At 50.3% G+C, this 23,571-nt stretch overlaps 1 pseudogene, besides 3 other annotated features; it reads left to right on the top strand.

The window, feature by feature from the left end:
• Positions 1,954-2,023: an enhancer, noted in NCBI's record as "active region_18144". NCBI's record gives its function as "activates an Ori minimal core promoter by ATAC-STARR-seq in GM12878 lymphoblastoid cells {active_cell/tissue: GM12878}" and the evidence as "EXISTENCE:reporter gene assay evidence [ECO:0000049][PMID:35858748]".
• Positions 11,238-11,851: an enhancer, noted in NCBI's record as "H3K27ac-H3K4me1 hESC enhancer chr20:55287343-55287956 (GRCh37/hg19 assembly coordinates)". NCBI's record gives its function as "activates a minimal SCP1, AML or CMV promoter by ChIP-STARR-seq in primed H9 embryonic stem cells {active_cell/tissue: H9 hESC(primed)}" and the evidence as "EXISTENCE:reporter gene assay evidence [ECO:0000049][PMID:30033119]".
• Positions 11,852-12,465: an enhancer, noted in NCBI's record as "H3K27ac-H3K4me1 hESC enhancer chr20:55286729-55287342 (GRCh37/hg19 assembly coordinates)". NCBI's record gives its function as "activates a minimal SCP1, AML or CMV promoter by ChIP-STARR-seq in naive H9 embryonic stem cells {active_cell/tissue: H9 hESC(naive)}" and the evidence as "EXISTENCE:reporter gene assay evidence [ECO:0000049][PMID:30033119]".
• On the top strand, positions 22,624-22,793 carry PTMAP6 (prothymosin alpha pseudogene 6; annotated as a pseudogene).

Genomic DNA, 23,571 nt, shown 5'->3' with positions numbered 1-23,571 from the left:
CACACCGGTGGCAGGGCCTGCACTTCCCATCCAAGACCATTTCCTTGCAATGAGGTCTCTTGATTCTCAAGGCCCATTTGGGTGCTGGAAATGCCTCTTCACTCTACCAAATCTCCACTTCCGGTTTTGACACCTAACTCATCTCAAATCCAGGAGTGACGGCCTCTAACAAGAAATTATATTATTGTCTGGGCACAGTGGCTCATGCCTATAATCCCAGCACTTCGGGAGGCTGAGGCGGGTGGATTTCTTGAGGCCAGCATGGCAAAACCCCATCTCTACTAAAAATACAAAAATTAGCTGGGCATAGTGGCACACGCCTGTAATCCCAGCTACTGGGGAGACTCAGACATGAGATCGCACCACTGCACTCCAGCTTGGGCAACAGAATGAGACTCTGTCTAAAAAGAAAAGAAAATCTATTATTGTTTTTTAAACTTCCAACCTACTCTCCATAGCCAATTTGGGGCCAAATCCATGGACATTACTGAGCCTCTCAGCTGTCCTCCATCTCAGTCTAACTGTGAGAGGAGCTCGGAAGCAGCTGTCTGAATACTTTCTCAAGTCCTCACTTCTGCCCAGCAGTGACCCGGAATTTGCTCAAGCGTTTCTGGAAAACCAATGAGGCCGTAGGAAGATGGCCCTCCCTCTGCATGAGAGTCCTGTGACAGTCATCCTAGCTGTGAATGAGGATGTAACCAAGATCGCATGGCAGTCTTGACACAGGTAAAGAAACAGGCAGGTCAGGAGAGAAGGACGCTCAGAATTTTGGTAGACTGTATACAAATCTGATTCCAGATTATTCCTCTAGTCCAAAGGTTCTCAACAGGAAACAGTTCTGCCTCCTGGGGACATTTTTGGTTGTCACAACTAGGGGAGAGTGTTACTGGCATCTAGTGAGTGGAAGACAGGGATGCCCCACCACATGGAACATAATTCCACAACATGAAATGATCTCGCCCTTAAGGTCAACAGTGCCCAGGCAGAGAAGCCTGCTCTAGCCACATGATCGGTCTTAAAAAGAAGAGGGCTCCAGGAATAAAATCTGAAGAGCTGCTTCTCTAAACCATGCATTGTATCAAGAGCCAAACAGCACTGCTTCCACCAAGGCAGCATAACACAAGGAATGGAATTCTCACTTGCTGGCTCAAGGCCTTGCACACTCAAAGGCTTTGGCAAGAATATTCAGGGGGCCCTCTGGTGTATTCACTGGGGATGCTTTGGGCTGCATTTAAGAGAATACATGCCTAACAGTGGCCTACATGATAAAAGCTGGGGAAGTGGATTTGGTTGAGCAGATCTTGTCTCTGTCCGCTGTCCATCCAAATGATAGATGTTGTCCTATAAGTATGCCCAAGTGGGGTCTCTGTGTGGTTCCCTGAACTCCTAACAGGCCAGCAGGGTAGACTTGCAGCCAAGCCTCTGACAAGTTGGCCATGGTCTCAAGTAGCCCTGTGCAAGAGAATGTGCCTAGCTCAGTCCAAAACCATCCAATGGCAACAGCAGTAAAGGCTTTACAGCTTGTAAGTGAACATCAGCAAGTACGAAGGGCAACTCATCATCCGCAAAAGCTCTCTACAAAATTGTCCACCAATCTTCCTTCCCATCTCCATCCTTGCAACCTCATCCACCCCTTTATTCCTGAAGGAGGCACCACAGGAAGGAAGGTTAGTGAAATCAACAGAACGTCTACTCGCCCTACAAACGTGGCATCCTGCTGGTGGGCAGGCAGTAGTCTGCAAGGCTGTAGTAACGGGGCTGGGACTGGGACCTCGTCCACTGCGGCCCCTCTGTCTCCCACACTTCCTCTTTGTGTCTCAGGCTGAGTTTCCCTTCCTCTTTTCCCTCCTGCAGATGGTTAGCTGCTTCGATTGTTTCGCTCATAGGACCAGTCCAAACCACAGAGCTTGGCACCACCTTCCAACCTCCCATTTGCCAACGTCTGTTTATCAGATCCAAGGCATGCTCTTATGGGCTGATAGTCTGACAGGAGCTCTGTTTTCAAGCCGGCGAGGGAAGTCCAACTGTTATATAAGGCCATATCGAGCCCCATTCATTCCTCCAGCAATAAAGTGCTTTTGGAAACAGGATGGTAATTGGCAAGATGACAATCATTGTGCAGCAGGCTGGCTCAAATGAAATGACAGCCCTTTCTGTCACGTCGTGGTAAATCTCAGCCTCTCTGCTCCTTGGAACCAGTCCGAGGGTCCCAGTGGGTAGGACGGGAGGGAAGGCGGCAGAAGAGAATAGAGTGACCTCTTCAGAACACTGATTGCGTCAGTTAATTCCTGCTAAACTCGGTCACTGGCTTTACAGTGCTCCGAGGATGAAATCTTTGAGTGGCTGTAGGTGACAGTTTTTGTTTGTTTGTTTTTTGAGATGGAGTCTGTCTCTGTCGCCCAGGCTGGAGTGCAGTGGCACAATCTTGACTCACTGCAACCTCCGCCTTCTGGGTTCAAGCGATTCTCGTGCCTCAGCCTCCCGAGTAGCTGGGATTATGGGCACCTGCCACCATGCCTGGCTAATTTTTGTATTTTTAGTAGAGACAGGGTTTCACCGTATTGGCCAGGATGGTCTCGAACTCCCAACCTCGGGTGATTCACCTGCCTAGGCCTCCCAAAGTGCTGGGATTACAGGCGTGAGCCACTGCACCTGGCCCATAGGCGGCATTTTTTTAATCTAGCCCTGGGACCTCAGCATTTCCTCTCCCACCTCCCTGCCCCTCCCTCACAGGGCACTGTCATGCTGGCCTGAGGCTCCTCTGTCCCCCTCTGGGCTTTGGCACACATCGGCCTTCTGCCTGGGACACTGTTCTCTCTGCTTTGCATCTGGTCAAAGTCTGCTCAAGCTTTGGCGCTCCCCCCAGCAAAGACATCCCTGGCAAACTGGGTCAAAGCCCCTTTTTAAAAGCAACCAGAGCACCCCTTCTCTCCCTGGCCCCACACTTATCACACCTGTACCTGCTCATCCATTCATCGGATCATTTGGTTAATGCCTATCATCTGTCTCCCAGTTAGACCATGAGCTGCAGGAGACAGACTGTATTAGGGTTCTCTTAGAGGGACAGAACTAATAGGATATATATAGGAGTTTATTAAGTATTAACTTACGCAATCACAAGGTCCCACAATAGGCCATCTGCAGGCTGCGGAGCAAGGAAAGCCAGTCTGAGTTCCAAAACTGAAGAACCTGGAGTCCGATGTCCAAGGGCAGGAAGCATCCAGCACTGGAGAAAGATGTAGGCTGGGAGGCTAGGCCATGCTCTCTTTTCACATTTTTTCTGCCTGCTTTATGTTCCCTGGCAGCTGATTAGGTGGTGCCCACCCGATTAAGGGTGGCTCTGCCTTCCCCAGCTCACTGACTCAAATGTTAATCTGAGTTAACACTCACAGACACTCCCAGGATCAATAGTGCACCCTTCAATCCAATCAAGTCGACACTCAGTATTAAGCATCACACAGACCATGCCTCTTTTGGCTTCAGCATCATCTCTCAGCACCTAAAACACACGCAGCTCTCGGTAAATGTTTCTGAATTCCTCTAAAAGTGTCCTGGGTTGCAGAAAATTCCCCATGAGAATTCATTTTCAAGCAAAGAATCTCAGACTAAGCAAGGTGTGTGTTTCTTTGTGGCTTCTGCACAAAGCCTAGGGCCTCCCTTTATAGCGCTTGTTGTGCTGTCTTGGTTTGAGTATCAATATTAATATTATGTCTTCCTCAGCTGGGCACAGCTGCTCACGCCTGTAATCCCAGCACTTTGGGAGGCTGAGGTGGGTGGATCACCTGAGGTCAGAAGTTCGAGACCAGCCTGGCCAACACGGTGAAACCCCATCTCTACTAAAAATACAAAAAATTAGCCAGGCATGGTGGCGCACACCTGTAGTCCCAGCTACTCGGGAGGCTGAGGCAGGAGAATTGCTTGAACCTGGGAAGGGGAGGTTGCAGTGAGCCGAGATTGTGCCACTGCACTCCAGCCTAGGCGACAGAGTGAGACTCTGTCTCAAAAAAACAACAAACAAAAAAACTTAATATCATGTCTTCCTTACCTTACTGATGGTATCATAGCCCCCAAAAGACACACACATACCCAAGCATCACGCAGGCAGACAGGGCCGGCCTCATGGTCGTGAGACCTGGCAAGCGGCATGTGGCCCCGCATTCGTAAGGGCCCTGCACTGCATTCAATGCTCTGCTTTCTTGAAAGTCTGAATATTTGGCCTGGCGCGGTGGGTGGCTCATACACGTAATCCCAGCACTTTGGGAGGCCAAGGAGGGCGGATCACGAGGTCAGGAGATCGAGACCATCCTGGCTAACACTGTGAAACCCCGTCTCTACTAAAAATACAAAAAATTAGCCAGGCGTGGTGGCATGTGCCCATAGTCCCAGCTACTCAAGAGGCTGAGGCAGGGGAATCGCTTGAACCCGGGAGGCAGAGGTTGCAGTGAGCCGAGATTGCATCACTGCACTCCAGCCTTGGAGACTGAGCGAGACTCCGTCTCAAAAAAATAAAAACCAAAAAAACAAGAAACAAAGAAAAACAAAAAAAAAGAAAGAAAAGAAAGTCTTAATGTTTGAACAAGGAGCCTCACAAATCACGCGGACAGCCCTCCAGGCCACTGTGTCTTGCTCATAGTGCCTGGCCCACAGCAGTGCTCAGAAAATATGGCTTGACGAACTACCCTGTCAAAAGGGAAGGCAGTCTGGGCCAAGCCAGTCCAACCTTCAGTGGTGCCCAGAAGAAAAGGACATCGACTTTCAAGTCACACAATCCTGGCTTGAACCTCAGTCCCACCCTTCAAGCTTCGGGACCCCGTCTAAGCCTCTGACCAGCTCCAAGGCTCAGCTTCCTCATCTGCCAGATGGGGACAGCTATATGGTGAAGGCTGGACAAACAGTGCAGGGCTTGGGTCACAACAGGTGGCTGCCATCCTGCCACAGGTATGGAATCAGACATTTACTGCTTCACATGTCTTCTCCACTTGATTGAAATAATCAAATTGACATTTACTGGGGGCTTCTATATGCCAGACACTGTCTTAAATAGTGCACATGTGTTCACCCATTTACGTCTCACAGCAACCCATAAGGTGGAGACTATCGTTATCTCCTGTTTACAGTTTAAGAAACCCAGGCACAGAGAGGTTAGGTAAGGAGTCCAAAACACACAGCTATTAGGTTGGTGCAAAAGTAATTGCAGTTTTTGCCATTGAAAGTAATGTAAAAATCTGTTATTACTTTTGCACCAACCTAATAGAAAGTGGGTCTGGGATCTGAAGCCAGGTGCACAGGCTCCAGCCCCTCTACTCTTTTTTTATTTTTGTATTTTTTGTAGAGACAAGGTTTCTTCATGTTCTCCAGGCTGGTCTTGAACTCCTGGGCTCAAGTGATCCACCCACCTCGGCCTCCCAAAGTTCTAGGATTACAGGCGTGAGCCACTGCGCCTGGCCCACCAGGCCCTATATTATTAACCTCTGTTATGTCCCTGTTTAATGTGATGCCTAAATGATTTTCTCTCCTTCCTTTTTCTTTCTTGCATTAGAAAACTCCAATCTTTGATGAGAGGGAAGGACAGCTCCCCCTCACACCCACAAACACCCATCGAAAGGCAAACACTTTCCCTGGCCTGTAGCAGCGGCTGACCCTTGAGCATACCCCGATTCAACATCTAGAACAGGAGCCCAGGGTTTGGTTTTGAGCAACTTGGGCTTTGATGTGTATGGACCTTCCAGGTCTACAGCACAAGACACGAGGGCTGCAGAGGAGTGAAGGCGGCCCGAGGGAGGCGCGCGGGGTTTCCTGGATGGGCTGGTGGCTGGAATCTTATTCCAGAAAGTCCCAGATGGGCACCTCCAGGGAAGGGCTTGATGAGTGGGCCTTGACTGAGGCCCTAGGAACTCAGAGTGTTTACATCCATCAAAATAAAAACCATATGAGGCCGGGCATGGTGGCTCATGCCTGTAATCCTAACACTTTGGGAGGCCAAGGCGGGTGGATCACCTGAGGTCAGGAGTTTGAGACCAGCCTGGCCGACCTGGTGAAACTCCATCTCTACTAATAAAATAAAAATTAGCCAGGCATGGTGGCGCATGCCTATAGTCCCAGCTACTCAGGAGGCTGAGGCAGGAGAATCGTTTGAACCCCAGGAAGTGGAGGTCATGGTGAGCCAAGATTGCGCCATTGCACTCCAGCCTGGGCAACAAGAGCAAAACTTCATCTCAAAAAAAAAAAAAAAAAAAAGAAAGAAAAGAAAAAGATCATATGAAGCCATGGAATAAAATGTGGTTATTTAGAATGTGGCCAACTTCCATGAATGTAAAATTAAGAGATTCCCTATAGGTTTTCTGACTCCCTCTCCTTCTTTCTCTGTGTGTGTGTTGCATGTGTGCACTGAGTGTGACTATTTTTTGCATGTGCAAAGTCAGCCCAGAACTCTCTCCCACTGACCACCCCGCCTTCTCTTGGAGAAAAACTTCCCACAACTCCCCACCTCATATGGCATATCCACTTGTTTACTGTCTGCCATCCGCCCCACTCAAATGCGGGAGCCAGAAGACCAGAGCTTTGTCTCCTGTTCCCTTAAGGATCCCTTGTGGTAGATGTTTAATGTACATGTGCTTCTGAATGAATGAGACAGTCGGGGAATGAACAACAGAATGAACTGTCAGCACCTGGGACCTATGTCAAACCCAAAGGGGATGGGAGATCCTGGAATGCTCAGCAGGGTGGGGAGGGGGAGCCTCCCTACTTGCCCTTGAAGGGGAGACTTGAACCCCTTGGGCTGGGCCCTGGGTAGTGAGCCCCGTCATGATGCTGTGAGGGAAGGCTCATGCCTGAAACGCAGCCCTTCACATGGATAGGCCCACTTTTCAGTCCCGTCAAGGCCCCTTATGGTGCTGGGTGACTGGTTGTTTTACTGCTAGAAGATTCTTCTTCTCCCAACTCCCTTAATTGCCCAGAAGCCTCTTTAGCACCTTTCCGAGTTTCAAACATCTGTGCATCCATCTGACTACACGCAGCACCAGTGCTGACAAGCTCTCGCCACCTGATGAAATCACAGCCCCGGGAGCAAAACTGGCTGAGTCTGGGCCTGGCAAAGGTGATACCTGCCTCTTGCTGGCTCCCGGAGATCCGCTGGGGGCAGAGCCTCTCGCTGAGATGGGTGCTCCTTGCAAGGGCTTGCAGTTGGCACCTGGGGCTCCAGCAGGGAGAGGCCGGGTCTCTCGCTGGTCAAGAACCTGAGCCCCCACCCCTGGAGGAGGGATTCACCCTGCATGTCGCACATCACCACCTCTCGTGCCTGCCAGCCCAGCTCCTCTCTGCACACAGGTGGCTAGACCAAGCTCCTGGCCCAAAGCAGGGCTCCGCATTTGGCTTTGGGGGATGGCAACTGGCTGCTCCAGGCCTCTGTGGAGCTTGCAAAGCAGTGGCCCTGGGAGGACCCCACCTCACAGATGTGTCCCTTTGGCCCAAGCAGTCAGTGGGTTACTGTTAATGGTGTTGTTACTATTAATTTATTGGCAACAATTTAAGTTGGAAGGAATTGCGCATTAAGTTTGAATCACATGGGATTACTATTTCTGTGGGTTAAGAAATGATCAAATACTGGCAACTTTAGATGGTTATGCTAATGTAAGTTGAGATTTTTCTGCTCAGTCCTGAAAAACTGAAGACCAAGTAGCCGTGGGCTGGAGTGGGATGGCAGGTGCCCGCTGTAGACCAAAACACATTGGTTTACCCCAGGCCTCAACAGTCCCTTTTGTTCCCCAGTCTAGACTTGCTGCCTGCCAGATGCCACATATGCCAGGACAGCTTTGCTTATGGTAGAGTTCTTTCTTTCTTCCTTCCTTTTTTCTTTCTTTCTTTTTTTCTTTCTTCCTCCCTCCCTTCCTTCCTTCTTTCTCTTTCTTTTATTTTTTCTTCCTTCTTTCCCTCCTTCATTTATTTTTCTTTTTTCCCTTCTTTCTTTCCTTCCTTCCCTCCTTCATTTATTTTTCTTTCTTTCCTTTTTTCCTTTTTCTTTCTTTCCTTCTTTCTTCCTTCTCTTTCTTTCATTCTTTCCTTCCTTCCCTCCTTCGTTTCTTTATTTTTCTTTCTTTCCTTTTTTCCTTTCTTTGTTTCCTTCCTTCCCTCCTTCCTTTATTTTTCTTTCTTTCCATTTTCCCTTTCTTTCTTTTTTTATTTTCCTTTATTTTCTTCCTTCCCTTTTTTCTTTTCTTTTTTCTCTCTTTCTCCCTTCTTTCTTTTTCTTTTTTCTTTCCTTCCTTCCTTCCTTCTACTGCTTCCATTCACTGTTTATTTGTCTGGTCTTTCATCCACCCATTCATGGGTTGATTCATTCACTCATTCATTCAATAAGACATTTTGAGTGCTTCCTGCACATCAGGCATTGTTCTTGGCACTGAGAATAAAGCATGGAACAAGACAGCAAAAACAGAAAAAAACAGATTGCAAATATATATGAATACATAAAATGCATAGCTTGTGGCTGGTGATAAACGCTAACAGGAAAATTTCAGCAGGAAAATGGGTTAAGAGTGCTGTGGGCGGGTAAGGAAGGAAGGCCTCACTGGGAAGGTGGCGCTGGGGAAAACCTGCAGAAGGGGAGGGGTGAGCACGGGAAGAGCCCACCAGCTGGAGGGACCGGCAGAGACAAAGGCCCTGAAGCTGGAGCATGTCTGGGCGGTCCTGGTGAAGGGGAAAGAGACTTTCTCGCAGTGCTCTTGCCTCTGTGAAAGCCTGGGGAGGGAGGCAGAGCGCTGGAGAAGAGGGCTGAGTGTCTCGGGAGAAAGGAGTGGGGGCATGTTTTCCTTCCATCACCATTTCTGCGAGCTGTCCGGCCCCCTGTCTATGCCTGTGACCCCTGCACTGTGATGATGTCTTTTAAGTGAAATAAGAGGTCCAGGAGGCTGAGAAGGAGAAGGCAGAGAAGGGTCTACTCCTTCCCCATGTCCTATCGGTAGGGTTGTCACATAATTCTCCATCTAAACTGGGACCCTGTGCTGCAGAGCCCGGCCAGAGAGCAGGCCCCGTCCCCTCTCTCACTGATGCTCAAGTGGCTCCTCTGCTCTCTTCCCCTTTCTGTCCACTCTTAGCAGTCCTGGGCCTGAGATGAGCTTCAGGGGACAGGAGTTTTCTCCTTAAGAAAGGATGCAAGGATGTAGGGAGCCAAAATGTCTCCCTCACCAGCTGGAGGGGTAAAAATGAGAACCTTGCTTGTAGTGGGCAATTAGGTGAAATGCCTTTAAAATCTGGCGAGACCACTGACCCAGCAAGTCCAGTGCAAGGAACCTGTCTTAAGAAATAAATCCTTATTATACAAGTGTATACTCAGCTTCAAGGATATTTGCCACAGCATAATTCAAAATAATGTTTAAGTGAAAATAACCTACACAGCAGGAGGGAGTTAAACACATTGTGATCTCGCTGTGTACTTGAATACAATCCTCACGCTATAGAACGCAAAATTACATGGAGACCCAAGGGCATTCTGCTGTGTAAAAAAAAATCTGAAAAGATTCTATGATGTATAATTCCATTTATCTAACATTCTTTTGTTTGTTTTTGTGTGTGTGTGTTTGTTTTGTTTTCGTTTTTGTTTTTGAGATGGAGTCTTGCTCTATCGCCCAGGCTGGAGTGCCTTGGTACTATCTCAGCTCACTGCAACCTCCGCCTCCTGGATTCAAGCTATTCTTCCATCTCAGCCTCCCAAGTAGCTGGGATTACAGGCACCTGCTATCATGCCTGGCTAATTTTTATATTTTTAGTAGAGATGGGGTTTCACCATTTGGCCAGGCTGGTCTTGAACTCCTCACCTCAGGCGATCCGCCCACCTTGGCCTTCCAAAGTGCTGGGATTACAGGCATGAGCCACTGCACTCAGCCTATCTAATATTCTTTTAGTGACAAAATTATAGAGGTGGAGAACAGATGAGTGGCTGTCAGGATGGAAAGGAATGGAAAGCGACTGTGGCTGTAGAAAGGGCAGATGAGGGGTGGATGTGATGGAGCTTGATACAAACAGCACGCTTCCATCACGCAGATTCACATATGCAAGCCTAATTCTCAGTGTGACGGTATTCGGATGGTATTAGGAGGTGGGGCCTTTGAGAGGTGATTAGGTCATGAAGGTGGGGCCCTCAAATTTGGGATTACAAGAGACAGCAGAGAGATGATTTTCCTTCTGGCCTTGGTGAGGACACGACCAGAGGGTGGATAGCTGCCAACCAAGGATCCAAGGTTAAGCACATTGTGATCTTGCTGGGTCATAGATACTGGGTCTGCCAGCAGCTTGATCTTGGACTTCTCAGCATCCAGAACTGTGAGAAGTAAATACAGACTGCTGTATCCACCCGGTCTAGGGTGTTATTTGTTACAGCAGCCCAAACTGACTAAGACAGAACCGTCCCGCATCTTGACCTGTGGTGTGGGTCGCACCAACCTACACGTGTGATAAAATGATACAGGACTAAATACACACAAGCGCCTGCAGGAACAACTGGGGGCATCCAACTGGGTGGGAGGCTTGTATCGACGTCCACTTCCTGATTGTGATACTGCACTCTGGTTATGCACGAACTTACCATTTGGGGAAACTTGGTGAAGAATACAGGAGACCCCCCCTGAATTATTCTTTTCAATTGTATGTGAATCTACAAGTATCTCTAAAAAAAATTGTTGTTGTTGTTGTTGTTGTTGTTTTTTGAGATGGAGTCTCGCTCCGTCACCCAGGCTGGAGTGCAGTGGCACGATTTCGGCTCACTGCAAGCTCCGCCCCCCGGGTTCACACCATTCTCCCGCCTCAGCCTCCCAAGTAGCTGGGACTACAGGCGGCCGCCACCACGCCCGGCTCATTTTTTTGTATTTTTTAATAGACACGGGGTTTCACTGTGTTAGCCAGGATGGTCTCGATCTCCTGACCTTGTGATTCACCCGCCTCGGCCTCCCAAAGTGCTGGGATTACAGGCGTGAGCCACCGCGCCTGGCCAAAATTGTTTTTTTTTTTTTTTCAAAACAGGGTTTCACTCTGTCGCCCAAGCTGGAGTGCAATGGCTCACTGCAACCTCTGCCTCTGCTCCCGGGTTCAAGTGATCCTCCCGCCTCAGCCTCCTGAGTAGCTGGGACTACAGGTACACACCACCACGTCTGGCTAATTTTTGTATTTTTAATAGAGACGAGGTTTCTCCATGTTGCCCAGGCTGGCCCTGAACTCCTGCCCTCAAGTGATCCGCCCACCTCAGCTTCCCAAAGTGCTGGGATTACAGGTGTGAGCCACCATGCCTGGCTCAAAAAAAAAAATTTTTTTTTTTTTTGAGACCGAGTCTCACTCTGTCGCCCAGGCTGGAGTGCAGTGGCACGATCTTGGCTCACTGCAACCTCTGCCTCCTGGGTTCAAGTGATTCTCCTGCCTCAGCCTCCTGAGTAGCTGGGACTATAGGCATGGACCACACCTGGCTAATCTCTGTATTTTTAGTAGAGATGGGGTTTCACCATGTTGCCCAGGCTGGTCTCAAACTCCTGGCCTCAAGTGATCTGCCCACCTTGGTTTCCCAAAGTGCTGGGATTACAGGTGTGAGCTACCGCACCGGGCCCCCAATTTTTTTTTAATATTACAAGAAGACACAGAGGGTCGTGCCCATCTACAGTATATCAGTTTGCATGTCTGGGAATATAGGGGTGAGTGGCGAGTGAACAGCAGGGTGCCCGGTGCTGGGAAGGGCTCCCGGTGGTGAGCCACGCCTGCTGCTGACCTGACAGCAGGAAGTCTCCGGTGGAGAGGCCTGCTCTGTGACTGTCTGTATATTCCACATTCCTCCCAGTGAATATGCATTCCATTTACATAAATTAAAGAATGGCTGGGCACAGTGTCTCATGTCTGTAATCCAAGCACTTTGAGGGGGCTGAGGCAGGCAGATTGCTTGAGTCCAGGAGCTCAAGACCAGCCTGGGCAACATGGCATAACCTCATCTCTACTAAAAATACAAAAAATTAGCTGGGTGTGGTGGTGCATGCCTGCAGTCACGCCTGCAGTCCCAGCTACTCTGGGGACTGAGGCAGAAGGATCGCTTGAGTCTGGGAGGTCAAGGCTGCAGTGAGCCCTTATCATGCCACTGCACTCCAGCCTCGATGACAGAGTGAGACCCTGTCAAAAAAATAAAACAAAGCAAAACTTTCTTGGAAGAGAAAGAAATTCATAATCTCTGATTAAAAGGAGGAAGCATTACTTTGTGTAGACTCAAGATCCTCACCCCAGGACAAACTGTCCACCTCCTGATTTTCCAGCACCCCCAGCCTCCCAGCCATGTCCAGCTCACAGCCTCCCAGCCACTCCCAGCTCACTCCGTTTTCTGTCTATACACACCCTATCCATTCTCTGTGGCTCCGTTCAAATCATGTCTTCTCCAGGAAACCACCTCAAGCACCTGACCCCAAACAGTCTCCCAGCGCAGCATAACCCTTCCATGAGGAATTCCTCGAAGGTGGAGGTTGATCTTTTTCACCTTAGTAACCCCAATATTTATTAACACAGAGCCAGTTCCCTGTGCGGGCTCCATACATTACCATGGAAGGAAGCCCAAGTCAAGGGTAAGAGTTGGTTTGACCCCTGATTCCAACACAACAAGCTGTGGGACTGTGAACGGGCAACATCCTCTCTGATCCTCAATATCTTCATCTTTAAATTAGGGAATGATAGCTATGACTTTCATAAAGATAACACAAGATTCAATATAATAATTTTACCTAGTAATTGCTGGAGAGTTTGGAAACAAGGCATGTTAAGTGCCCAGTGCAGTGGCTTGCTTAGTAATGCGTTGTTTTTATTACTAATAAAGAATGACTAAAAAAAGCAAGCTGTGGGTGTGGCGTGTGTAAACACACCGCTCAAGGAGCCCCTGAAACACTTGTCAGAGGCCGCATGCTGTCCGCAAGGTTGCCTGTGGGATCTGCAACCCCAGACGCAGAAGTAAAACAGCAGCAAGGAGGAGAGGAGGAGGGAGGGGAGGAGGAGAAGGGAGAGGAGGAGGAAGGGGAGGAGAGAGAGGAGAAGGGAAAGGAGGAGAGGAGGAGGGAGAGGAGGGGGGAGAGGGAGAGGAGGAGGAGGGAGAGGGAGAGGAGGAGGAGAGGGAGGGAGAGGAGGTGGGGGAAGGAGAGGAGGATGGGGAGGGGAAGGAGGAGGGAAAGGGGGAGGAGGAGGGAGAGGAGGGAGAGGAGGAGGGAGAGGAAGGAGAGGAGGAAGAGGGGAAGGAGGAGGGAAAGGGGGAGGAGGAGGGAGAGGAGGAAGAGGAGGAGGGAGAGGAAGGAGAGGAGGAAGAGGGGAAGGAGGAGGGAAAGGGGGAGGAGGAGGGAGAGGAGGGAGAGGAGGGAGAGGGGATGGAAGGGGAGGGACAGAAAGAGAGGGAGAGGAAGGAAGACAGGAAAAGGGGGAAGAGAAGCCGGGAGGGGAGTGGGAAGAGGAAGAGGGGAGGAACAAAGGAGGGGGAGGAGGAGGGGAGAGGAAGAAAAGAGGTAGAGGGGAAGGGGGAAGGGGAAGAGGGGGAAGAAGGAGCGGTAGGGAAAGAGAAATAAGCCCCCATGGATCATGTGTGCGTGTCAGGCCCCTCCTCAAGGCTCCATGTGCGCCTCTTATTTAATCTTCATAAAAACCTATGACGTGTTGGCCTCCACTCCCAAATTCACCTCATGGTCTAAGATGGCGGTCCCAGTCCTCTAAACATCATGGCATAAATGAGGAAAGGAAAGGAGTAGGACCCTGCCCAGAAGCCCTACACATCAACCCCTGCTTACGTCCCATTGGCTGGACTTGGGCACGTGGTCTTGTGAAGCTGCAAGGGGGCCTGGAAAATGCTGTCTGTATTTGAACGACGTTGTGGCCAGCTAGAGATTGTGGGTTCTTTTGTTAAAAAGCGGAGCGTCAGCTGGGTGTGGTGGCTCACACCTGTGGGAGGTTGAGGTGGGCAGGTCTATGCACTCAGGAGTTGAAGGCCAGTCTGGGCAACACGGCGAAATCCTGTCTCTGCAAACAATACAAAAGGAGCTGGGCATGATGGCATGCACCTATAGTCCCAGCTACTCCGGGGGCTGAGGCAGGAGGATCACTTGAGCCTGAGAGGTCAAGGCTGCAGTGAGCGGTCATCACACATCACTGCATTCCAGCCTGGGCAACAGAGCAAGACTCTGTCTTAAAAAAATAAAAAACAAAAAGCAGAGTATCAGCTATTTTTATATGAGGAAACTGAGGCACGGGGAGGATAAGTGTCTTGCCCACACAGCTTGTAAGTGAAGGAGTTTGCAGGAAATAGAATAAAAGCCCCCCCAGGACGTAGCAGGTCCTAATCCCCAGAACCTGTAAATGTTACCTTCTAAAAGAGGATCATTGCAGGTGTGGTTAAAGAGCTGGAGATGGGGGTGATCCTGGATTAGCCAAGGGGGCCCTAACTGCAATCACATGCATTCTAAGAAGAGGAGGGCAGAAGGAGAGATGGAGACGTGGGATTTGAAGATTGCAGTGGCCACAAGTCAAGTGACATCAGGAACCATCAGAAGCTAGGCCAGGCAAGGGGCCTCCCCTGGGGCCTCCGGAGGGAGCGCAGCCCGGCCCACACCATGATTTCAGCACAATGATACTGACTTCAGGCTTCTGGCCTCCAGAACTGTGGGGCAATAGGTTTCTGTTGTTCTAAGCCACCAAGTTCATGTTAGTGTGTCCTGGGAGCCCCAAGAAATGCACCCAGATTCCAGGCAAACCCAGGCAGCCCAAGGGCAGCCTCTGTGGTCTTTATCTCTGAGTCGCCAGGAGCTCCGAAGGGAACTGCAATGGAGGAAACCCTCCCAGCATTTTGGGTCAGAGACCCTAGCCCTGAAGACCTGCCCCTGCCCCCGTGTCTGGCTGTGACCCCAGAGAGCAAGCGAGGAGGAGGAGGCTCATCACTGCGCCAGCGGTCCTGGCCCCCGAGCCACCGGATGCTACATTCGGCTATGTCCCCAGCAATCCCCCTGGTCCGTGGGCCAGAGTGAGTGACGAGGAGGGGCCTGATTGAAGAATGAGCTCACAGGGAGGGTTATTTATTCTATGGAGGGCTGTCATCAGCTTCTGAGTGGTGCCCACGCGCTGAGCCAAGAGGTTTAGGAGTGGCCAAGCGAACTCCTGCAGCTCATGGGCAAATCTCGTGGGGTGTCAGCAAGCTCAGGCTTTCTTCTCTCTCTTTTTAAAGAGCATTTCTTTCTTTGCCTCTGCCTGTCTATTTTCTATCATATCCTAAGCCTCACCAAATTTTATTCCCAGAAGATAAGGCTGATAAGCCACCCAGAAATCTGGGGAGTCTCCATTTTTTTCCCGTTTGAGACGGGGTCTCACTGTGTCACCCAGACTGGAGTGCAGTGGCATGATCACAGCTCACTGCAGCATTGAGCTCCTGGGCTCAACAACCCTCCTGCCTCAGCCTCCCATGTAGGTGGGACCACAGGCGCGCACCCCATGTCTAATTTTGTGGTTTTTTGTTTTGTTTTGTTTTGTAGAGGTGAAGTCTATGTTGCCCAGGTTGGTCTCAAACACCTGGCCTCAAGCAACCCTCCCTCCTCAGCCTCCCAAAGTTTTGAGATTGCAGGTGTGAGCCGCCACACTCGGCCTGGGTGGTGTCATCACAGTCCACCTTTCACTCTGCCCCACATCCCACCCATCCTTTGGATTTTCCTTCCTCAACATCTTTCAATGCCATGTACTTTCCTCCCTCGTCACCACCCCCATCCTGGCCTAGGCCTCCTCCACCTCTCTCCTGCCATCCCCATCCTGGCCTAGGCCCCCTCCACCTCTCTCCTGCCATCCCCATCCTGGCCTAGGCCTCCTCCACCTCTCTCCTGCCATTCCCATCCTGGCCTAGGCCCCCTCCACTTCTCTCCTGCCATCCCCATCCTGGCCTAGGCCCCCTCCACCTCTCTCCTGCCTCCTAACTGTCTCCTGATTCCAAACTGGCCTCCTTCAAGCCTTCTTTATGCTGCTAGAGTCCTTTTTGCCAAGTGAAAATCATAACTGGCCACTGTCATTGATGGAATGGTGTTCCCTCCAAAATTCATGTCCACCAGAACCTCAGAATGTGACTATTTGAAAATAGGGGCTTCCCAGACGTAATTGGTTAAGATGAGGTTATTTTGGATTAGGGCGGACACTAAACCCAGTGAGTGGTGTCCTTATAAGAAGAGGAGAGGACACACAGAGATACACAAACAAAGCCCATTTGAAGATGGAGGCAGAGACGAGAGCAACACAGGTGCAAACTGAGGAATGCCAGGATGGATGGGAGCCACCAGAAGCCAGACCAGGCAAGGAAGGACTTTGGAGGCAGCATGGCTCTGCCGGCACCTTGGTTTCTGACTTGTAGCCTCCAGAAGTGTGAGAATAGATTTCTGTTGTTTTAGGGCAGCCTTAGGAGATGAACACAGTCCCCCTGACCCCCGCCCCCCAGCTTCACTCTCACCAAGCATCTGGGGGCTCTCGGGATAATGAAGAGGCTCATGTCCTTGGCTTCCAAACTCCTCTAAGTTTTGTCCCAGCTCACCAGCCCGGCCCATCCCCCGCCTGCCGTCCTCCTCTCTGCTCTCTGCTTTTAGTCCCTTGATTCTTCCGTGCTCCGGGCCTCCACCGTCTATTTTCTTGATACTCCCTCTGCCTAGAATTCTCCATTGAGAGGGGTTTGCATGGCAGGGAGAGGGATGGGGACTGAGGCCACATGCCAGGTGCTTCAGTTCTCCCTTGGTCCACAGCTGCATGAACCCAGAAGAGTGAGGGCGGACCTGAAAGAGAACTTGGATCCCATTGCTCACTGATTTTTCCAAGACCTTCTAGGTGCTTCCTGTTTCTGAGTACCCAGCCTAGTGTCCTTGACTTCACAAAGTGCATCTGAAATGCCAACCATATATGGATATTTTTTCAAGAGTGTGTCTGTTTCAGCTCCAATTTCTGAACATGACCTGTTGGGCATTTTCCATCTGGCACCTCGACAACCACATTCTGTGACTTCCAGGTCATCCCGCATCTACTTGCTTCACTTTCTCACTGTGAAAGGCCCTTTGTTGCTCCCAGGAAGTGTCACTAAAACAATGGACAGTTAATTTCACTCCTTTCCTGGGGCTGGACTCAGACCAGGAGGGAGAGGAGGCTCTGTCTCCAGTCTCCCCAGGGGAGGGAGAGAAGGGCCGTCGGGATGAGGCTGTTTCCTTCCAATAGAACGTAAGCTCCATGCAGGCTGAGGGCTCAGCTTGTTTTCTGTTGCCCCCAGAGCCCAGCCCTAGAGGGTTGAGTGAATTCGTTATGGTGGACATCTCTTGTTCCATACCCAGCGTCCACTCAGCTTTCTCCATGTTCCTTGGTTTCCTCAATTTGTTGACCCTTCAGTTATTTTGTTCCTTTATTTCTTTGGCCCAGCCCATGCGGAATATTGAGAGCCGGAGCCAAGCAGATCGTTCTGTTCCATGAGCTCGGGGATAAGCACGTGACCCAGTCTAACCCAAAGACTCACAAGGAGACTGACACTGGGATCCCCGGAAGGTTCTTGCTGCTTCCTTCTTCTGGAATCAGGAAGCCCATGTGGCCCTGGAGCTCCTGGCCGCCATCTTGTGAGATGGGAAAATGTGGGGCCAATACAGAGGAGAGAGAAACCTCATCCTTTTGTTCAGCTAGAGCCCTGCATCCAGCTTTCCCTAAAGCCAGATTTGATTCACCTCTGGCTTATGATTCTGTCACGTAAGTCATTAATTCTTTCCTTCAATTAGGTTTTTGGACCCATGCAGCCAAAATAGGCCTGTTGGATCTATGAGTGAATGAATGGATGGACGGATGAAGAACTAAGCTCCAGTTCAAGCCAATGAGGATGTTCAGTGCCTGCCACACATCCACTCCATCCCTCCTGATTCCCAGCCTCCTGCCACTTCTCTGCCTCCTCCCTGCTCCTATAACACACAGGTTCCTGATCTCCCAGTGCAGACTCAAACATCCCGTCCCCCAGAGTCCAGCCTCCCCCAACAGCAACTTAGCACAATGCTCTCACAAACAAAAACAATTTTCTCTCTAATAGAGATCCTAGGGGCCATTGTTAAGGTTGTACTTTTTTTTTTTTTTCACTCTACTACAAAAGTTAAAACTATTTCAGCTGCCATTTAGGGAGCCCTACCTATCATACACCAAACATTGCTCTGGGCCAGTATTGCAGATGGCGAAACTGAGGCTTGAAGAAGTTAAGTAACTCGCCCAAGATCACACAACTTGATCATGGGCAGAAGATCCAAAACCCCAATGCCCAGAATCTATTTTTCCATTTGAAAGACAAGTCCTCAGGCCGGGCGGGGTGGCTCACGCCTGTAATCCCAGCACTTTGGGAGGCCGAGGCGGGCGGATCACCTGAGGTCGGGAGTTCAAGACCAGCCTGACCAACATGGAGAAACCCCGTCTTTAATTTTGTATTTGTAAAAAATACAAAATTACCCAGGCATGGTGGCGCATGCCTGTAATCCCAGCTACTCGGGAGGCTGAGGCAGGAGAATCGCTTGAACCCGGGAGGCGGAGGTTGTGGTGAGTCGAGATCGCACCATTGCACTCCAGCCTGGCTGACAAGAACGAAACTCTTGTCTCAAAAAAAAAAAAAGAAAAGAAAAGAAAGACAAGTCCTCACATGGTGGCTTCTTGATGGAGGACAGGGCGGGGCCCTTCCTGAGGCCATGCTGTCCAGGGAAATGTTCTACTCTGCTGGAAATGTCCTCCAGCAGCACTGTCCGACAGGGGTGTCACTGTGGCTCTTGAGCACTTGCACTATGACTAGTGTGACCAAAGATCTGAACATTTTAAAGTTTATTTTTATTAATTTTAATTTAGATTTCAATTACCACACGTGGCTAGTGGCTACCAAATTGGGCAATCCCACTTTACAAACTATATGTTGATCTGAATTAAGACTGAGCTTTGGCTGGGCATGGTGCCTCATGCCTGTAATACCAGCACTTTGGGAGGCCGAGGCGGGCAGATCGCCTGAGGTCAGGGGTTTGAGGCCAGCCTGGGCAACATGGCGAAACCCCGACTCTACTAAAAATACAAAAATTAGCTGGGCGTGGTAGCAGGTGCCTGTAATTCCAGCTACTCAGGAGGCTGAGGCAGGAGAATCCTTGAAACCGAAGGTGGAAACTGCAGTGAGCCGAGATCGCACCACTGCACTCCAGCCTAGGCAACAAGAGCGAAACTCCATCTCAAAAAAAAAAAAAAGAAGAAGAAGACTGAGATTTGCATAGGGAAAATAGAAACCTCAGTGTCTTGAGGAAGAAGGGGTCAATCCCAGTCCCTCATCAGATCCAGTCGTGGTAGAGTGACGGCTCATCTCTGGAAGCTCAACCTCCATGTTTCCTCCCAGGACCTCACTCTACTCCTGGAGGGAGCCATGCTCTGTCCTGCCTGGCCCAGGCTGGGCTCTCTGTCTAGAGGAGTCTCCATCCTCTCTCCCCAGCCCATTGACCTGGCTAACTCCTACTCATCCTCAAGGTCTCAGCTGACAAATTACTCTCACCAGGAAGCTGTCTCTGTCCCCTTGGCTGGGTCCACAGAGCACACCACCCTCTCTTTTGTAACACTCAGCACAATTGTAACTAACAATGTGTGAGCTGCTTGCACAGTGGCCATCTCCTCTGCTTTCCTTGGGGACAGGCACATACATGTCTGCCTTGTCCATCTCTGTATCCTGAGCACCTAGCTCAGAGCTTAATGCATATTAGATTCTCAAGAAATATTTGTCTAATGAATGAATCAGTCAATTGAGCCAAAAAATGGAAATGCCAAAAGTTAAATTCTCTGTAGTTCTTCTTGGACCTAGATCATGGGAAGATAAAGTTTTTCTTTAAAGGACCAGATACAGTGGTTCACACCTGTAATCCCAGCACTTTGGGAATCCGAGGCGGGTGGATCACGAGGTCAGGAAATCAAGACCATCCTGGCTAACACGGTGAAACCCCATCTCTATCAAAATACAAAAAAATTAGCCAGGCACGGTGGCGGGCGCCTGTAGTCCCAGCAACTTGGAAGGCTGAGGCAGCAGAACGGCGTGAACCCGGGAGGCGGAGCTTGCAGTGAGCCGAAATCGCACCACTGCACTCCAGCTTGGGCAACAGAGCGAGACTCCGTCTCAAAAAAATAAAAATAAAGTACCAGATAGTAAATATTTTAGGCTTTGTGAACTGTACAATCTCCGTCATGAGTACTCAACTCTACCATTGTAAAGACAAAGCAGCCATAAACAATGTATAAACAATGAGCATGGGCTGTGTTCCAATAAAACTTTATTTAGGAAAACAAGTGATGGGCCACAGGTAGTAGTTTGCCAATCTCCGGCCTGGACTTGAATGGGGAATATCAAGTGGAGGGCAGTGAGGTGGGGCCAGTGGGGAAAACCTCAAAGGCTCAAGTGCCCCGAGGACGGATGGCCAAGTGGTTCCTGTGGCTCTCCACCCTCCCAGCTCCTCCACAGAGAGAAGTGAAAGGACACTCCCCGAGGTGAAGCTCTTTGACCAGATTTTGCGGATGCTGCACAACACTGAGGAAGGGAGTGGGGGAGACCAGGTCCCTTGGTTTCAGACTCTGGCCAGGGCACAGAACCAACTCCTAGAGCTGGGGAATTCGTGCATACAATGGAACCCATTGATGGAGAACAAGAGCTGTGTTGAAAGCTGGTGCGTTTCTTGTCACAGTTCGCCAAGGGGATGTGGTGAGCTGGGCTCTCTCCACATCCTGATGTTGCTGAAAATCTGGCGCACGGGGGCCTTCCTGTCCTCCAGAGAGCCCCCCAGCACTGCTCCAGGGTCGCGGAGCCCCCTCGGGAGTGCACGCCATCCCGTTCTGGCTGATGGAGCCAGGAGCTAGTGTGATCCAATTTTGAGAGACGCGCCAGCCATTCCCCTGGCCATTAGCAGCTCTGCCCCAGCATCGCTGGGATGTGCCTACCTAAGTGGGAGATACAGGATTTTTTTCTTTAATGCTTCCTTGGAATGGGTGTGCTTTACAGCTGTTTAACTGGCGTTGGGCTTAGTGTTGGGCAAAGAGACTTTCTCTTCTATGAAGCAGCCCTTTGTCACACAGGTATTCATGAGAGTAGCTTCCACAGTGACCCCAAATGCATCTGCCCTGAGGGAGCGAGAGGAGGGGTGGGAGGGAGGGCTTTGGAAACCTTGGCACCGGGTCTATTGTTCACCCCACGCTCAGCCAAACATGTGCCCACCCTCACCCACTATGAAAACAGAGCTATACAAAGGATGCCCTCAGTTCTCCTGGGCCAAGGACAAGGTCTAAGGCAGGGGACTCCCCAAAATGGGTGGCAGGCAGCATCTCACGGGCCAGCTCAGAGGCTGCAGGGTTTGCAGGCAGCCTCTCTGTGTTGGAATCTTGGCTCTGCCATGTTGAAATCTTGGGCAAGCACCTTAGCCTCCCAGAACGTCGTCATCCGCATTTTACAGAAAAGGAAACTAATGCTGGTGGAGGCTTTAGGAAAAACGTCGGGGATGTCCACTAAATGGGAACATTGCTATTCGAAGGGCCTTCTGTTGTCGTTGCCACTCCTGGTGAGTCAGCTTGAGTCTCAGAATGGCCGTGTCCCTGAGGAGGGCCCTGGTCACACGGGTGCAGCTTCACTGCCGTACGGCATCATGACCAGGGATTAGGCAAGTCCCAGGGAAGGACTCTGACTGGCTAAACTTGGGTCATGGGCCTTGATATGGTTTGCCTGTGTGTCCCTATCCAAATTTCATGCTGAATTGTAATTCCCAATGTTGGGGAGGGACCTGGTGGGGGTGATTGACTCATGGGGGCAGATTTCCCCCTTTGCTGTTCTCATGATAGTGAGTGAGTTCTCATGAGATCTGGTGCTTTAGAAGTGGGGGGTGGGGGGCAGGCGTAGTGGCTCATTCCTGTAATCCCAGCACTTTGGGAGGCCGAGGCGGGCAGTTCACCTGAGGTCAGGAGTTCAAGACCAACCTGACCAACATGACAAACCCTGTCTCTACTAAATATATTAAAATATTAGCTGGGCATAGTGGTGGACACCTGTAATCCCAGCTACTTGGGAGGCTGACGCAGGGGAAACTGCTTGAACCTGGGAGGCAGAGGTTGCAGTGAACTGAGATCGTGCCGCTGCACTCCAGCCTGGGCGACAGAGTGAAACTTCATCTCAAAAAATAATAATAATAATAAAGTGTGGGGCTGGGCACGGTGGCTCACACCCATAATCCCAGCACTCTACATCTACCAGGAAGCTGCCAGCCATGGTAATTATCCAGGTGACAACACAAACCAACCACGCTCACTCAGAGGTGAGCGGGGCCAGGAGGGGGTCTGTGGAGCTACCATACAAGCCACAGAGGATGCTGAGTACTCCGAGAAGTCTGGTTCTTGCAGGGGGAGTTAACATTTGTGAAATATACGTGAAAAGGGAAGCAAATGAGAAGTGCTGAAGCCCCCACTGGCTGCTCTGAAAAGCCATCTTTGTATTATTTGCCATCAGGCTCCCTGCTTACTGCAGCCACCTCTGGCAGGCAGCTTTGTCACCAGTCCCCGAATCTCACTTTCTTTTTAATCCCCTTCATCAGATCACCTGTGTGCCCCATGTCAGACGCAGCCGTGCACACCAGCTCCTAGATCACCACCAAGACTTAAAGGAGAAGGAGGAAGTTGTGGAGGAGGTGGACAATGAAAGAGATGCCCCTACTAACAGGAATACTAATGAGGGCAATGGGGAGGAGGAGGCTGACCATGAGGTAGACAAAGAAGGGAAGAAGGTGGAGGGCTGGGCGTGGTGGCTCACGCCTGTAATCCTAGCACTTTGGGAGGCTGAGGTGGCCGGATCATGAGGTCAGGAGATCGAGACCATCCTGGCTAAAATGGTGAAACCTCATTTCTACTAAAAATACAAAAAAATTAGCCAGGCGTGGTGGCATGCGCTTGTAGTCCCAGCTACTCGGGAGGCTGAGGCAGGAGAATCACTTGAACCCAGGAGGCGGAGCTTGCAGTGAGCCAAGATCGTGTCACTGCACTTCAGCCTGGGCGACAGAGCGAGACTCTGTCCCAAAAAAATAAAATAAAATTTAATTTAATTTAATTTAATTTAAAAAAAAAAAGAAGAGGAAGAAAGTGGAGAGGAAGGGGGAGGAGGAGGAAGTTGATGGTGAGGAAGAAGATGGAGATAAAGATGAGGAAGCTGAGGCTGCTGAGGGCAAACTGGCTGCTGAAAATGATCAGGATGACAATATTGTTACCAAGAAGCAGAAGACCAATGAGGATGACCAGGCAGCCAAAAAGGAAAATTCAAACTTCAAGAAAACCTTGCCGGCCAGTCGCAATCGCTCACGCCTGTAATCCCACCACTTTGGGAGGTTGGGGCAGGCGGATCACTTGAGGTCAGCAGTTCGAGACCAGCCTGGCCAACATGGTGAAACCCTGTCTCTACTAAAAATACAAAAATTAGCAGGGTGGCGGGTGCCTGAGTTCTAGCTATTTGGGAGGCCGAGGCAGGAAAATTGCTTGAACCAGGGAGGCAGCGGTTGCAGAGAGCTGAGA

Source organism: Homo sapiens, chromosome 20 (assembly GCF_000001405.40).
Source record: "Homo sapiens chromosome 20, GRCh38.p14 Primary Assembly".
NCBI classification, from domain to species: domain Eukaryota; kingdom Metazoa; phylum Chordata; class Mammalia; order Primates; family Hominidae; genus Homo; species Homo sapiens.
This window is presented reverse-complemented; position numbering and strand designations above follow the sequence as displayed.